We start from the raw sequence: 16,007 nt of genomic DNA on the forward strand, positions 1-16,007 counted from the left end.
TTTAAACTCTTGCTCCTTAAATAAACATAAAAGTTCAGAGTTTATTTAAATGTTATTTTTAAACTTTAAAATAGATATTATGTTATAGCTAAAAACAAATTTAAAAAATTAGAATATTCATTATGCCTTTTCAAGTAGCATGTATTTACTTCCCCCGCCCCACTGCAATAGGTAGAGATTCTTATTATCCTCTTCCTGTTAAATCATCTCTATATTATTAAATGAGAGATGATTTAAGGATGTTCAAAGGCCAATTGGAGGCAGCCTGCAGGAATAAATACATTATGGAAAATGAGAAAATAGAAGAAGGAGGGATGGCAGAGGTGAGGGGAAAAAATAGGTCCAAAGCAAGGGTACAGATAATCTAAGAGTATGTTACTTCTCTTTTTTTCTTTTTTTTTTTCCAAAATTTCAAGCAAAGTCAAGTATTTCCACCACACTGAAACTCTTAAAAACTGATATCTTTTGTGAAAATAAATCCAGAATTGTTTCAACAGGAGACATATAGGTATGAACCTTTGTGAGTTGAGCAGTTATTTTCATACTGATTAATGGATACTTTCACTGGGGATGTCTATGATGCACGAGGCAGCTCTAGTCCATTAAATTTTAATGCCTAGAACTAAGTGCATTTCATACTGAAGCCCTGAATAGTTCCTTGTCCTAAAGGAAAACTTAATAATATTCTTCAAAGCCTCCAAAATTACTTTTCTAAAAAAACCTTTTTCTTTATAAAAACAAATAAACTTTAACAATTGCTATGCTGGTGAAGAAAAAATATACTTAGAGAAACATTTTAAAAACTTTTATTTATATGTCCCTATTTTATATCCAGAAACTTAGTTTTCTTTCCAATCAAAGTTCAGCTCCTTCTTGGAGTTTGGTATGACACTTCAGGGAATATTAGAGGTGAATAAGGTATTACAGAAAAAAATTTAGCCCAACTCTGTAACCCTGCAGATAAAGAAATGGAAGTATTTTATGACTAAACATCTCTTGGGACAGAGTGGACTAAATCATAAGGTGAATATTCTCATAGAAGTAGGCCAATCTTGGGGGTGATACATTTAATATGAATATAAGCTTACACCTGTAAGTATCTTGAGTTTATAAGCATTTGCACATACATTATTTCATTTGATCTTTATTACAATCTTGTAAGGTAAGTAAGGTAGGTATTATATTTCTTTTTATAAAAATGAGGAATATAAGGTCAGGGCTGATACATGAAAGACAAATTATTAGCAGCTGAAGGGTAATTGGTGGGGAGGGAGAAATAACATGATGTATTAAGAAAAGCATAATATTAAAAATCAGAAGACCTGATTTCAAATCCCAGTTCAGCCTCAGTTTAAAGTTACATTAAAGAAACACATTTTATGCTATGGAATGCCAATTGGGTTCTCTAAAAAGCATTCTCTGAAAAGAATGTAGGAGTACAAGAGGTTTATTTAAAGGTGACACCTGTGAAAGGAAAAGGAATGAAACAGAATTGGTTATGAGGTGCCATCAGATCCCAATACAGAGCTGCTAAAATCTCCGCCAGCCCATTGAGGAGCTCCAGAGGAAAAATTGCCTATGAAAGGAGTGCCACACGGGCTAGAAATGTCGAGGCCCTTCTTTTACCACCACCTTACTCAGTCATTGACTGGGAGTAAGGTCCACCCTGAGAAGAGACTGAACACAGCTCTAATGCTGCAGTGGGTCCTGAAATAACTGAGAAAGCTGCCAGTGAACTACCATCCTGCCACACTCTTCATAAAGGGAGGTCTCAGTGGCATATCTATTTCTGCCACACATGAGGAAATGCTCATGATTCTATAATATATGAAAAAAGGAAATTACCTATATGTAGAATTAGATCAATAGTGTACATAATAACAATTATTATGTGTCAAGCATTGTACTAAATGAATTACAGCATTATCTGATGTAATCCTCACAACAATGCTATGAGAATGATACAATTGTATCTTCATTTTACAGACAAAAACTGGACAGCTCAAAAGGTTAAGAAACATGTCGCAAATGTAGGAAGTGCCCATCAATATTGAAACACGAGTTTGCTTTGCTGGGATAGCTTGTGCTCCATCTGGTTGCACAAACATATGTACATAGGACAAAGAATGGAAGGGAAAATACACACATAAATAATAGTGATTATATGGTAGTACTATGGGTTATTGAATTATTTATTCATTTTCTTTGTTTTTTACATTTTCTTCTCTGAGGTATTCTGGTTGTCTGTTGAGGCATAACAAACTATCCCAAACTTGGTCTTCTAATGCAACTATTTTATTATTCTCATGGATTCTTAGTTCAAAAATTCAGACAGGATGCCGTGTGGATGGCTTGATTCTGTCCCACAATATTTAGAGCCTCAGCTGAGAAAATGTGAATGAATGGGTTTATTCATCAGCTGGTAGCTTGGAATTCTCTGGAGGCTTAACACACTGACTGGAATAAGTGTAAGGCTGGACTTAGCTAGAACAGTTGATTGGAGAGCCTTCATGTGCGATGTACCTTCTCCATGTGGCCTGCATTTTCTTATACCATGGCTGACACAGGTTAGTCAGATTTGTTACGTTATAGATCAGGGCTCCCAGAGTGTGTTTTTCAGCAAACAGAAAGGAAGCTGTGTGGTCTTCTATGTCCTAGCCTTAGAAAAGAAACACTCTGCTCCACGCTATTGATCACAATCCACCCAGGTTCAAGGGGAAGGGGCATAGATAGCAAATATCTGTGGGTTGAGTATAGATGAATGCTCACCATGTTTTAAAACCACCAGAAGGTATATTTTGTCCATAATCAGAAGAAAGTACATTTTTATACATCAGTTTCTTTTCTATACTGAAATAGAGTTGAAATTTTTTTGTTTAATAAATAAATTTTAAAAATGGATGTAATATGGTAGTAGAGGATTTGAGCTCTGTGATATAGTGGTTGCTTATCTTGGCTTTATCCATAGCAATAATCACAGAGCTAACAATAAGGCAGGATATTAAGTAAGCATTGTTTTAGAGTTTTATGGCTAGTACAGAGTTGCAGTTACTACCATTACAAAATATTTTTATCCATTTACATACATTTTGGGAGATCTATTCTACCTCAAATTCTATTTCTCAAGGATATAGCTGGAGCGCTTTTTTGTCTAAGCCTCATTCTTCCACACATGGATTTTCTTCTGCTTAAAAATAATAAATATGACACACACAAATACATTACAAAGAGCTTATTTATCTCACACTTATAGGGTGCCTCTGTGTGTCACATTGAATAATAATGCTTTAAATTTGGCTAGAGAGTGCATAAAGGAAACTTGTCAGTTTCCACAAGACTCTTTTCTAAACAAGTCTTAAGAGACTTTCTTTTAAAAACATTGCCATTAGACATTTCTTATATATGGTAAACTGCAAGCAATAAATGAGATCAAACTTAGAGTATTCAAAATTTGCCTAATATTTGCATTTTACAGGAAAATTTTTTCCAGGAGGTGTGTACCATATTGCTGACTCTTAAAATTATTCCATTAGGACAAAATATTCCAGTAGAGTAAGAGGCTTATCAGTTAAATACAGCAAAAGTATGTCCTCTCAAGTTTTTCCTTGAGACTCGATCAGGAAAACCACTATGGAAAGTCAGAAGTGAAGTACAGACGTTGGAGTCCAACAGACCTGGGTTTGCATCTACCTTCAACACTTACAAAGTAAGGTTCAGTTAGCACTTTAAATTCTTTGAGCCTGAGTGACATCGGCTATAAAATAGGGTTAATAATTATTTTCTCTCATAGGTAAATTGTGAAGCTTAAATGAGAGGATATAGATAGAACATTTTTCATGGAAGTTGGCTCATAGTAAGCAATTTATATGCAGCAATTACTGCTTTATGTTTATTATCTTTAGCATAGCTGCATAAGATAAAAGTTTTATTTTGGCAGTATTCAGTTAAAAAGTATTTAGATCAATTAGAGGTCAATCTTGAGAAATCCAACCAAGGTATGAAAGGATAAATTATTACTCTTAACTTTTGACCTTACCATTTGCCCATTCTGAAGGAATCCTAATATACTTTAAAAAAATTCCACAAATATTGACTGAATAAGGAGAAAAAACAAAGATACTTGAAGAAAGGATAAATGTGTGTTTACTAAAACTGCCTAATAGATAAATGTTTCACATGCTCTGTGATTTACATAAAATTTATTTTAATTTAGCCTAGTACAGTGCTTGTCATAAAATAGACATTCATTAATAAATATTTGTTGAATAAAAGAGTATCCATCTTTCTACTGATTTATACAAGTTATTTATGTATTAAATATGTAAACAATTTGTCAGTTTTATATGTTGTGAATATTTCTCCAACTCGTCACTTGCCTTATTGTGTTTTTAACACTTTAATTTGCTCAAATCTATCATATTTTCTATTTAAAATATAACTTTATGCTTAAAAAGACCTTCCCTACTACTCTGCATTGAAATTTCTGACCATCTGCAGGGAAAATGTTTTAAGGCGATGTTTTTCCTATTTATCTCAAGACTAATCATGCCTTTAGCCCTCACCAAGATTATTGGTAAAGTGAGAGTTAACTCCTGTGAACTGTTTTCTCTGGAGGAGGAATTCTCAGTTTCTGGCAGCCTATCCATGGCTAAACTAGTAGACGTTTTCTCGCTTCCAGTACTGGTACAGCCTTTTTCCATGTTTTATTCCTTTGTTTGTTGCAGTGCCTAACTCGTGAAGCAGAGGGAGTGGAGTTAGGAGGAAGAGGTAAAGGGAAAGGAGAAAGAGAAGCTAAGTGATTAAATCAAATCAATATTTTATTTGGAAGGTACTATAGGTATTATCAGAACAATTTTAAGGTGGTTACAATTACTCTTTTTTTATATAATCAAGGAAATTAGCAAAAAGGAGTGACAGAACTGCTCCAGTGCACATAGTCATTGTGAGAGCTGAAATTCTAATTAGGGAGGCTAATTCTATGACCTGCATCTTAACCCTGCCTTATATGCAGCTCAAATTTAACATGTGAAAACGAAACATTTTACTTCTGCCTCAAAATCTGCTTCTTCCTGGTTCTTCCCTATCTCTCTATCATTAATTTCCCTACTACTTATTGCACTTGGAAAAAAATCCAAATACCCCATACCATGGCCTAGAAGGCCCTGCAAGATTATACATCTTTGACCTCATCTTGAAAATTTCTTTTCCTTTGTTTAATCATTTACTCAACATTGGCCTTATTGCTGGTCTTCAAACACAACAAGCTTATATCTGTCTTTCGACTTTTGCACTAGCTATGTTTCATATTTTAATACTTATCCTTGAAATTGTGACTTTTTGCCATCTACCATTTATCTCAAAAGTCACCTCTGCAGTGAAGCTTTCCCTGATTAACCAGTTTAAAATAGCCATCTAATCATTTGTCTATTTTTATCTCATATCAGTTGGTACTTTAAGCTACTGTATAGCAATTTCTTATTTGTTTACTTTTTGTCTCTCCATTCACGTAAACATAGTAAAATATAAGCTCTGTGAGAGCAGCGATTTCACTATCTTTACTCACTGCAGTGTCACCACTGCTCAGAAAAGAGTTTGAAACACCAGATATGCTCAATCAATATTTGTTTAGCATATAAAGGGTATATTGAAAAGAGAAATGCATAATCAAAACTGGGTGTAGGAAAATGTATCTAATTGTATGCAGGATGGACTGCAATGGGAAAAAGTATTAGTTGAGGAGACTAGTTAGGAAGCTGCGTAATACAGAGGATGATGCTAGAAATAAGAAGAAATGTGAGAAGTATAAGTCAGTTAAAACCAGTAGAATTCTGAAACTGAGCTGAAGGGACTCTAGGTCCCTTGGAATAAAAAAGTGCCATTCATATAAATAAGGAATGTTAGATGACAAGTCAGCCTGGGAAAATTATAAACGATAATTATAAGAACAATTTCAAATTTTGCATTTGAGATGCCATTGATAGGCAAAATATATGGGACTCAGACTTAGCAGAGAAGTCAGGACCAAAGATGCATTTATCAGATTGTATAATAATTACCAAAGTGGCATTTAGGAATGGGAAAGCAGCTTAGGGCTACATTTCCAAATCATACACTTTTAGAAGACAGTCAGAAACAAAGAATAGGCAACAAAAAGGAATCAAGGAATGTATAGTTTTAGGAAAGCAAAGGAGATAAGAATTTTGAGAAGAAAGAGATGATCTAATCATAGAGAGAATGACTACAAGGACACTGGATTTGATAGTTTACCTTTAGAAATTGAAGAAGTGATTTCGGGAGACTGGTGAGGTCCTTAATGCCTCAGGTGGAAGAAACAGTCATGGTGACTTCACCTGGTAATACGATGAAAAGAGATGTGGGAAATAAATCTGCCTTAGTGAGGAGTAGTGTGAGAAAAGCAAAATTCAATGTAGAATAAGTATGGTGAACTCATTTGAGATTTATGTGGAACTTGGGTATACCTACCTAAAGATTGCTAAAGAAATGAGACTGCAACTGTCAACAGATTCAATATCTTTTTTCAGAAGGCTGGAAAATGAAGGGAATAATAGAGATAAAATCAGCTTAGCTTCAGTGGGAAAAAAAAAACAAAACTTTTTTTTTAAAACGGAGAAAACATAAGTTTATAGTTCAAGCATATAGAGCCAATGAAAGAAGAAAGGTTGAAGATGCAATATTTATTTCACTTTCTTGGGAGAGCAGGTAGAAAAACGGGAAGATTTGGAGACTATAACATTAATTTTACTATTTGTAGCTCTTTACCAAAGTTTTTTCATTTTTTAGAATTTCTTGTAGGCCTTTATGCAGGTGTGACAGCATTAAGAAATCAAACTTTGCCTTTTAATGGTAAAATTTTCTTAACAAACAGTATTTGATGTTATATGTATGTAAGTCATAAATGCACTGGCCTATCTTATGACTTGACTTTATTGCTACTTGGTGTGTTGATAGACCAAATATTATAGAAGTTGTGGTTTAAATTCCTACTTTGAGGCTTAAACATGGAAATCTTTGTATAACAAAGATTAAATACAAAACAAAATTACATATTGAATTTCAAAATAAAAATTCAATGACTGTTAATTGCTATTAATATTATAAATATTATTTCATGTATCTCCAAAGGCAGAAATACAATACAAATAATATTATAAAAAAGTAAGAATTACTTTAATTGTTGCACAAATTTTTCAAATTTGGAGGCTCAAATAATAGTTCTAACATATTCACTGGTAAAACGAGTCAAGTTAAGAAAGATATTATGAATTAATTGTGCCTAGATTTAATGATATTATTTATTAGTAAGAAGAAATTACTGAACTATCATGAAACAGCCTACTGGGCTGCATGTACTTTGTTCAGTACTTGGTTCATACTCTCTTCTTAAATGGCATATTTCATCCTCATCTCTAAAAGAAAAAAAATAAACCTTTAAACTGTTACTGTAAATTCCTGACCTCACTGGGAGTTAATTCTAGTTGCTGGAAAAGCATATTCATTGGAGTAACCTACCTGTAAAACTGAGTTTGTGGTTGCAAGAGTCTCACCATAGGTAATGTCCTTTCTGTCTTTCTTGTTCAAGCGGTAGAGGATTGATTAGAACTGAACACCTCTGTCATTTGGTCCTACTTTCCACCATCTGAGAACTATTCTCTGGTATCTAATGTGCTCTTATGCTAGAAATCACACTTAAGTTTCCTTTGAGCACCTGAACTGGCTGATAGGCAGAAAATCAATACATCCTGTTGCACAGCTTTTGAACCTGTTATTAGCAGAAAAGTAACACTAAAGATATGTTTCCTTACAGGATAATGCAGAATTGATCACTTCTCTGCTTCACAGTGGAGCTGATATACAGCAGGTTGGATACGGTGGCCTCACTGCCCTCCATATTGCTACAATAGCTGGCCACCTAGAGGTAAGTCATGCCTTTGGCACCTGTGAAAACAAAGGTTATTTACCTTTTCGGTTGTTGTTCTTAACTGTTTTGAAATACTGTCTTTGAGACTTTACAAGTTGGTTTATTTTTTAGCTACTGAACACATTGGGGTAAAATTTAGCTGTATAAATGAGCTTTGGATAGTCAATTCAGTCAATTTTCTAACAGTGTATTTAATCATCAATTAACATAAAGGTAGCTAGATATACAGAGGCTTTATAGCAGCTCAGTTTCCACAACTTGCTATTTTAACCTTGGGGAAGTTACTGAATCTCATGACCTCCCTCTTTTCTTCACTTATAAAATAGGAATATTAGTAAGCCTATTATAATGATTAAGTTAGATAATTTATATAAATCACTTTGTAGTTTGCTTAATGCAGAGTAAGGACAAAATGAAAAATCATTCACTCATTCATCTACTTATGTATTACTTGAATGAATATTTATTCATCACCTATTATGCACCGGATACTGTTTTAGATGCTGGGATGACAGTAGCAAGAAAGTCAGGCAAAATTTTCATTTTATAGAGTTTAGCTGTAAAGAATAAAATAGACAATAAAGACAAGAAAATATTACATAATTTTAATTAGTAGTGAGTACCATAAAAATAATAAAGTGAGGTAAAATGAAAACAACGAGAGAGAAGGGGGCACTATTTAAAATAAGCTGTACAGTAAATATCTCTGAAAGGAGGTCATATAGGAAAAGAGATTTAAATATATTGAGAATGTCAGCCATGTAAAAGGAGAGAAAAGAATTTCAAGCTTAAGGAATGGCACTTGCAAGGACCCTGAGGCCTAAAAAGGCTGGGTGTGTTTGAGGGACATGATTGAGCCAGAGTTGTTAGAGTGGAGTGAGCGGAGGAAGAATGATGAAGACAAGGTCTGGTGATGAATGGTTCCAAGCCAAATCACACAGTGTTTTAAAGGTCATAGGAAGGACTCTGGATCTTGTCTTAAATTTAAAGTATTAATTTTATATATCCTATTATGGGAAGGACTTCCATTTGCATGATTTGGCTAACTTCACAAATCCTCATCGAATAGTTTTTATTGCCGCTGCCATTTGATAGATATAAAACTAAGGCTCTTATATAGTAATTGCCTTGACAAATTACAAAGCTATTGAGGAAAAGAGCCATGTTTGGAATCCTGATCATTTTACTCAAAATCCCATGATTGTCACACTCTATCAATTGTGGAAACACCAATAGCTCAACAATGTAAAAGATGAGAAGTCTGACATCCTTATTATTAAATAGTTATGTTCCCCCTTTTAGTCATGTTGCAATTCAATTATACCTTCTTCACTAATACACACACATATACGCACACAAACTGTGAACAAATAGAGCTGCATATAAAATTATACTTGAAGCCTGTAAAACAGAGGTGATCCATCTCCCTTAACAGTGTCACTTCAAAGGGCTCTTACATTCAATACAAATTAAAATATCTCGTTGAGAGCAAAATAGTTTCCTTCATGTTGACATTTCCACTCCTTTCCATATCACCTTATTTCCTGGAAAATAAATCCTTTTAGTGAGATTCATTGTAAATATAGGTGAGTTTGTGTTACTTATGAGGAAAGGGGAAATTCCATTAGATTCACCTAAATATAAATGTTTTCCAAAAAAGAAAGAAAGAAACTGAGGCCAGTGATAAAGTAAATGAGTGGTAAACATTAAGGGATCTGGGTGAAATAATTTATGAGTTAGACACTAACTTCTAGTAAAACATGATCAACCTCTTAATGCCAGGAAAATTACAGACTATGTCTTCAAAACAAAATCCTTTTTTTCCTAATGTTGTTTTGATGATAGCATTACAATGGCTTCTAAAGCAAAGTGGTTAAGAGCTTAGTTTCTTCATCTCCTATTCAAATAGCTCTGTTTTCTTTCTTTCTAAATCATAATATGGAAGAAGGTATTATATTGATTTTACCAGACTTAGGGCAAACTTCACCAAAGTATTCCAAATAGATCTCTACTCTTGCCTTGCAATTCTTCATGGGTTTTCTAATTTTCCTCATTAGCTGATATTTGATGACTTTTATAGTCAATAGCTAACACTGCAAAAAGCAAGTATAGATACATTAGCCTTTATTCTCTTCTTATATGGGGGACTAATTAAATTATTGATCAAATAATAAAGAAAAGGGTATCCAAAACTATCTAAAATAATTATATTCAAAATGAATATTTTTGTTGGAGTATTTCTTTGAAAACTATTACCATTGACTTTTGACCAATGTGGGAGTTAGGAGCACTGATCCCCTGTACAGTTGAAAATCTATATATACATTTTGACTACCCTAAAACTTAATTATTTATAGCCTACTGCTGATTGGAAGCCTTATTGATAATATAAACAGTCCATTATCATGTATTTTTAATGTTACATGTATTATATACTATATTCTTAAAGTAAGCTAGTGAAAAGAAAATGTTATAAAGAAAATCATAAGGATTAGAAAATATATTTACTATTTATTAAGTGGAAGTGGATAATCATAAAGGTCTTCATCACCATTGCCTTCACATTGAATAGGCAAAGGAGGAGGAGGAAGAGGAGGGGTAGGTTTTGCTGTCTCAGGGGAGGCAGAGATGAAAGAAAATCCATGTATATGTGAACTTACATAGTTCAAACCTGTGTTGTTCAAGGGTCAACTATAATTGTAGTAAATAGTCACTGTCAATATATCTTTACCCATACGTGTGAATTCATTTAACATTTTTTCAGCCCCTACTTTGTCTATAAATGGTTAGAATATAGAAATATAGGAATGATACAACAAAATAAGACATAGATTTTTCCCCTAAATATTCTGTAATGCAACTGGGCACACAAAATAAATATGCAGAAAAAATATATAAGCAATTCAAATGTAAAACAGCAATATAGTTATAAGTAAGGAGTAGGATGGATGAGAGTAGGTTTGATAATTGGGAATACAGGTGTTCCTCAACTTATGATGGGGTTATATCTGAGTAAATCTATCATGAGTGGCAAATATCATAATGGAAAGTGCATTTAACACACCTAGCCTACTGAACATCATAGCTTAGCCTAGCTGACATTAAATGTGCTCAGAACTCTTACACTATTCTACAGCTGGGCAAAATCATCTAACAGAATACCTCTTTTGTAAGAAAATGCTGAATATCTTATGTAATTTATTGAATACTGTACTAAAAATGAAAAAGCAGAATGGTCGTATGGGTACTCAAAGTATAGTTTCCACTCATATGTATCACTTTCACACCATTGTAAAGTCAAAAAATTGTAAGCTGAACCATCGTAAGTTAGGGATTATCTATTATTAGAAACATAATAATGTAGAGAAAATGTCAGAGAACACAAAATAGAAGAGTTAAGAGTTCAGTGAGGATAGAGATTGTATTAGTCCATTTTCACACTGCTTATAAAGACATACCCGAGACTGGGCAATTTACAAAAGAACGAGATTTAACTGGACTTACAGTTCCACATGGCTGGAGAAGGCTCACAGTCATGGCAGAAGGCAAGGAGAAGCAAGTCACGTCTTACATGGATGGCAGCAGGCAAAGAAAGAATAAATGAGACGAAAAAGCAGAAACCCCTGATCAAACCACCAGATTTCCTGAGACTTATTCACTGCCACGAGAACAGTATGGGGGAAACCACCCCTATGATTCAATTATCTCCCACTTTGTCCCTCCCACAACACATGGGGATTATGGGAGTACAATTCAAGATGATATTTGGGTGGGAACACAGAGCCAAAGCATATCAGAGATTAATGTGGACTCAAAGAGTTAGGGAAGGAGTTATGAGAGGGGATTTAAAATTGAACTAGTCTAAAGAATGATGAGAACTAGACAGCAAAAATAAGAGGGATCTGGCCCAAAAATAGGAAGGAAAGAATGAGATAAGCACAGTAAGGGACAGTGAGTAAAATGATAACATGAAACAAATTGTGAAGAGTCCCTCTAGGTAAAATTAGGTGTTAAGAATAGACGAGACTAAAGAAACTTGGAGAGTAGAAGTCTAAGGCGTTTAATTTAATGCAAGAAGCAATTACTGTGGTTTACAATGTATAACACAATTTCTGTGGTTTACAATATATAACACACAAGAGTAGATGGCATGGCAGATTAAGAGATTAGTAGAACACAGAATTTCTCACTCTTTAAAGAAAATTAGAAGAACCAATGTGATTTTTCCCCCATAGGAAACAGGGACTAATTGAGAAAATATTTCAGCAAGAGAATAATTGGAGATTTGATAAGTAACATGTTTAAAAGGATTACTTTACTTTGACTGCATGATTTAGCATGAATTCTAGTGCGATTACATGATGATTAAACAAAGAAAGATAAAAGCTTGGGTAAAGGATTCAATTTGGAGGAAAAATCAATTAGCTCCACACATGTTGATTTTCTGATGACATCCAAATTTTCAAGTGGAAATGTTCATTAATCATTTAGAAACATACAAACGGCATTTAATGGACACATTTGGGTTTAACGTAAATTTTTAGAAATTATATATAGAGAGGTAATATTTAAAACCATAATAACAGCTTAAAGTTGTATATTGGGCATAATGGATGGTCATAGGACCGAGCCTAAGAGAATCTCCCCGGAGACTTAAGGAATTATTAAATAAGGAATTATTGAAGGAAACAAAGAATTGCTCAGTGATATGGAAAGGACTAAGATTATTTTAATATTGCAATTAGGAGAGTTTCAAGAGTTAAAGGATCCCAGGTATCAAAAAAGTTAGTGCAGAAAAGTAGAGCACATTGGGATAAAACACACATCGAGTATTTCCTTACTATGCTAAAAATTTAGGTGCTTATTCCACTCCTATTTTTTATTATCATGGTTAGCAGAAATAGCAACGGATCAGTGGGTGTTCTGTTTCATTACTAGTCACTATCTTTTATTGCCCACCTTTCTCTGTGAAACAATAGCTGATGCTAAGTCTGACAGGACTCTTTGTCTCCACATATCAAATTCAGACCTTCCATTAGTGTCTCAAGTGTGTTTGTCCTCCCATAATTGTGAATTCTATTAAACAATCTTACAATAAAATTTACATTGACTAGGCAGCTGTCTTCTTCAATAATAGAAGAGAACATGTGCTGCAGATTCCTAGACATGCTGACTACAATTTGGGACTCAGATTTAAATTTACTGTGCTTTGAAGAGTAGGCAAATATTAGTTGTCCCAGGTCTCAATACTTCTCTTTGACTGATACATCCATCTATCAATACATTTGCATATGCTTCTTTGTACAAGGCCTAAGATCCTGTCAGCAATCAATAAACATGCATTAAATCCTCTTTTTCCCTTTAGGTTTGGGGAATGTGAGTCATACGCTTTCCCAGGCATGGAAAAGGAAAAATATTAGCTAACATTTGGTGGTACTTTATCATTCACATACATTTGTCATTTGGTTGTTTTGTGAGATAACTACTGTCAGACTCAGTTTATTAGTGAGGAAACTGAGGACTGGAGAAGCTGAATGACATCTACATGGGCATTCAGATGATAAATAAATAAGCTGGATGGGACTCCAACCTGGGGATCTACCTTCACATCTGTAGTCTTATACATAAAAGAGCGATTACTCCCCAGAGACTCTTCTGTTTATTGCTATAACACAGCTTATACCCACAAGACACAAAAAAAGTATTTGGAAAGTGAAAAAAGAAACGGAATATGTTACTATATAAAGCCCAAGCATTACTACATATACGATTAAAGCAACATTAAATGACTCAAAACTAATTTCATAATGCATTCACTATATGGGCATAACCTATGGAAGTATAATGTAGGTATATGAGCACACAACACACACACACCTCAAGTGTAAAACACTTTATACTTAAATAACTCCTTAAAAAGTTGTTACTCTGGTGTTACGTGCTGTAGTTTCTGCAGTTGCCATAAGTCAAATCAGTTTTCTGCAGCCGTTGACAACTGTTTGAGCAGTGAACAGAAAGGCATGCAGCAAACATGTAAACCAATGTGTAATGTATAGAGGTTGTGGAGTGGTTTTCTTATTACAGAAAAGTGTACTTTCATATACACCTTGTGAAGGTGAGCGTATTATTCATAGTTGAAGTTATTCTATCCTACCATATCCCATTTTCAAATTGTAAACACTTATTCAATCACTGCTTCAGAAATGCTTCCCAGTTATTTTGGAACTTATTTCTGATTTCAAGGTAATGCACTCAGTATTGTTTCAGTTCATTCTTTACTAAATCATCCAAATGTTTCAGTAGAGAATTTTGTTTACCAAGAAGCCTCGGACCCTGTGTAAGTTATTTTTTAATAATCGCTTTAGTTTCCTCTCCAAAGGCACAAATGACAGAATGCTTAGAATTATAAAATATGGTTTCTCTCTCTCTCTTATTTTTAATTTTTTAGAGAGAGGGTAGTCATGAGTTTTTTACCTAAACAGTAGCAAGTCTGCCCCAATCTTGTGAATAGGCAATAGTCCCTTGTGAACTCCATTTGGAATCAGAACAAATAATGAAACAAAATAATAGTTAATGCTTTGAATAGATAACTTTGTACTGAACATATTAATTGACTTGATCCTCAGTTGAGAGCTCTCTCACTCACTGTGCTGTACTGCTTCTCTCCTGATCCAAACAGTAACCTCTCAGCTCACCTGACCAGAATTTAAGCTTTGGACATGATACACAGAAGCTTAGAATATGTCAGGAAAACATGCCATATCTGCAGATCTGAACCCCCTCAAAGACTTAGCACATTAAGATATTCTGGTGCCTTTTTGTATGGTCCCCATTCTTTTGGGCTGTATAATTTTTCTCTAAAATTTCTGCATTACATTTTAATAGCTTTGTTGAGATAAAATTCATATACCATATAATTCATCCATTTAAAATGTACACTTCAATGGTTTTTAGTATAGTTGCAGAGTTGTGTAATCATCACCAAAATCTAATTTTAGAATATTTTTGTCACCCAAAAAGGAAACTTAATACCCATTAAGTAGTCAGTCCCACCCAGCCCTCACTGCCAAGACAACCATGAATCTACTTTCCATCCCTACAGATTGGCTATTCCAGACATTTTATATAATTGGAATTATGTAATGTGGTCTTTTTGTGACTGGCTTCTTTTATTTTGTGTAAAGTTTTCAAGGTTCATTCATTTTCAGTAAGGTTGATTTCTATCAAAATTATGTTATAATTACATATGACTTTATTTAGCAAAACAGAAAAAGATACAGATTCAACTGATAGTGTAAATGCAATTTCTTTCTACTACCTGTCTATTTTCATTATAAATCAATGCTGGAAGGAAATCTTCAACTAAAACTTCAAGTCCCCAAACTACACTTCTAGTCACAAAAATGTGCCTAAATTATCAGACTAGGAACACCCCCATGAGAGAAAGTGGCTAAATGGGGTATCTTCCTGAATGGGCAGGCCACCTCTTACCTGGGTATTGGACAAGGCCCCTACTCCAGACGATTAATCCTCCTTCCCACCACAGGCTCACTCTTTGCATTCTTAGGCAGTTATGACTCTGTAAAAATGCAAAAGTTTCTAATGCTTCAGTTGCGGTTAGCTTTTTGTAGTTAAAATTTTAGTAATCAGTTCATAGGCTAAAGCTTTGCTAATCAAAGTCTGATTTATTGATTAGCAATATAGTATAACCAGTGAACTTCTTTGAAAATAGAATCTCAAGACTACCTCAGACCTGCCTATAATTAGCATTTTAAGATTTCCAGATGATTCATATGCATATTCAAATTTAAGAACCCTCCCCTAAAGAGTATTAGAAGAAATTAGATTTAAAAGAGATATCTGAGGAAGATAAATAGAAACAATGAATGAATGAATGAATGAATAGAAAGATGTAGCTTTCATTTGTTTTGCTTTACAATTTGCTTTTGGTTGGTACTGATTTAAGTGCTTTAGTAACTATTAAAGTGGCATTCAGGGCTCATTCTAGAGCCCAGGATCATAATCACTCATTGTGCACAATATATGCCTAGTACTTCACACATTGTGG

At 34.1% G+C, this 16,007-nt stretch overlaps 2 protein-coding genes across 3 annotated transcripts in view; both read left to right on the forward strand.

Annotated features, from left to right (window-relative positions):
* FPGT-TNNI3K (FPGT-TNNI3K readthrough) overlaps nt 1-16,007 on the forward strand; it is a 346,187-nt gene that overhangs the window by 65,531 nt on the left and 264,649 nt on the right. For both annotated transcript variants that reach the window (NM_001112808.3, NM_001199327.2), the window contains exon 7: nt 7,826-7,936. In NM_001112808.3, coding sequence (NP_001106279.3) covers nt 7,826-7,936 — 111 coding nt within the window. The remainder of the gene's footprint in view (nt 1-7,825; nt 7,937-16,007) is intronic.
* TNNI3K (TNNI3 interacting kinase) overlaps nt 1-16,007 on the forward strand; it is a 309,042-nt gene that overhangs the window by 28,386 nt on the left and 264,649 nt on the right. Inside the window, exon 5 of the mRNA NM_015978.3 lies at nt 7,826-7,936. Within this exon, the coding sequence (NP_057062.1) occupies nt 7,826-7,936 (111 nt within the window). The remainder of the gene's footprint in view (nt 1-7,825; nt 7,937-16,007) is intronic.

Source organism: Homo sapiens, chromosome 1, assembly GCF_000001405.40.
Source record: "Homo sapiens chromosome 1, GRCh38.p14 Primary Assembly".
Classification (NCBI taxonomy): domain Eukaryota; kingdom Metazoa; phylum Chordata; class Mammalia; order Primates; family Hominidae; genus Homo; species Homo sapiens.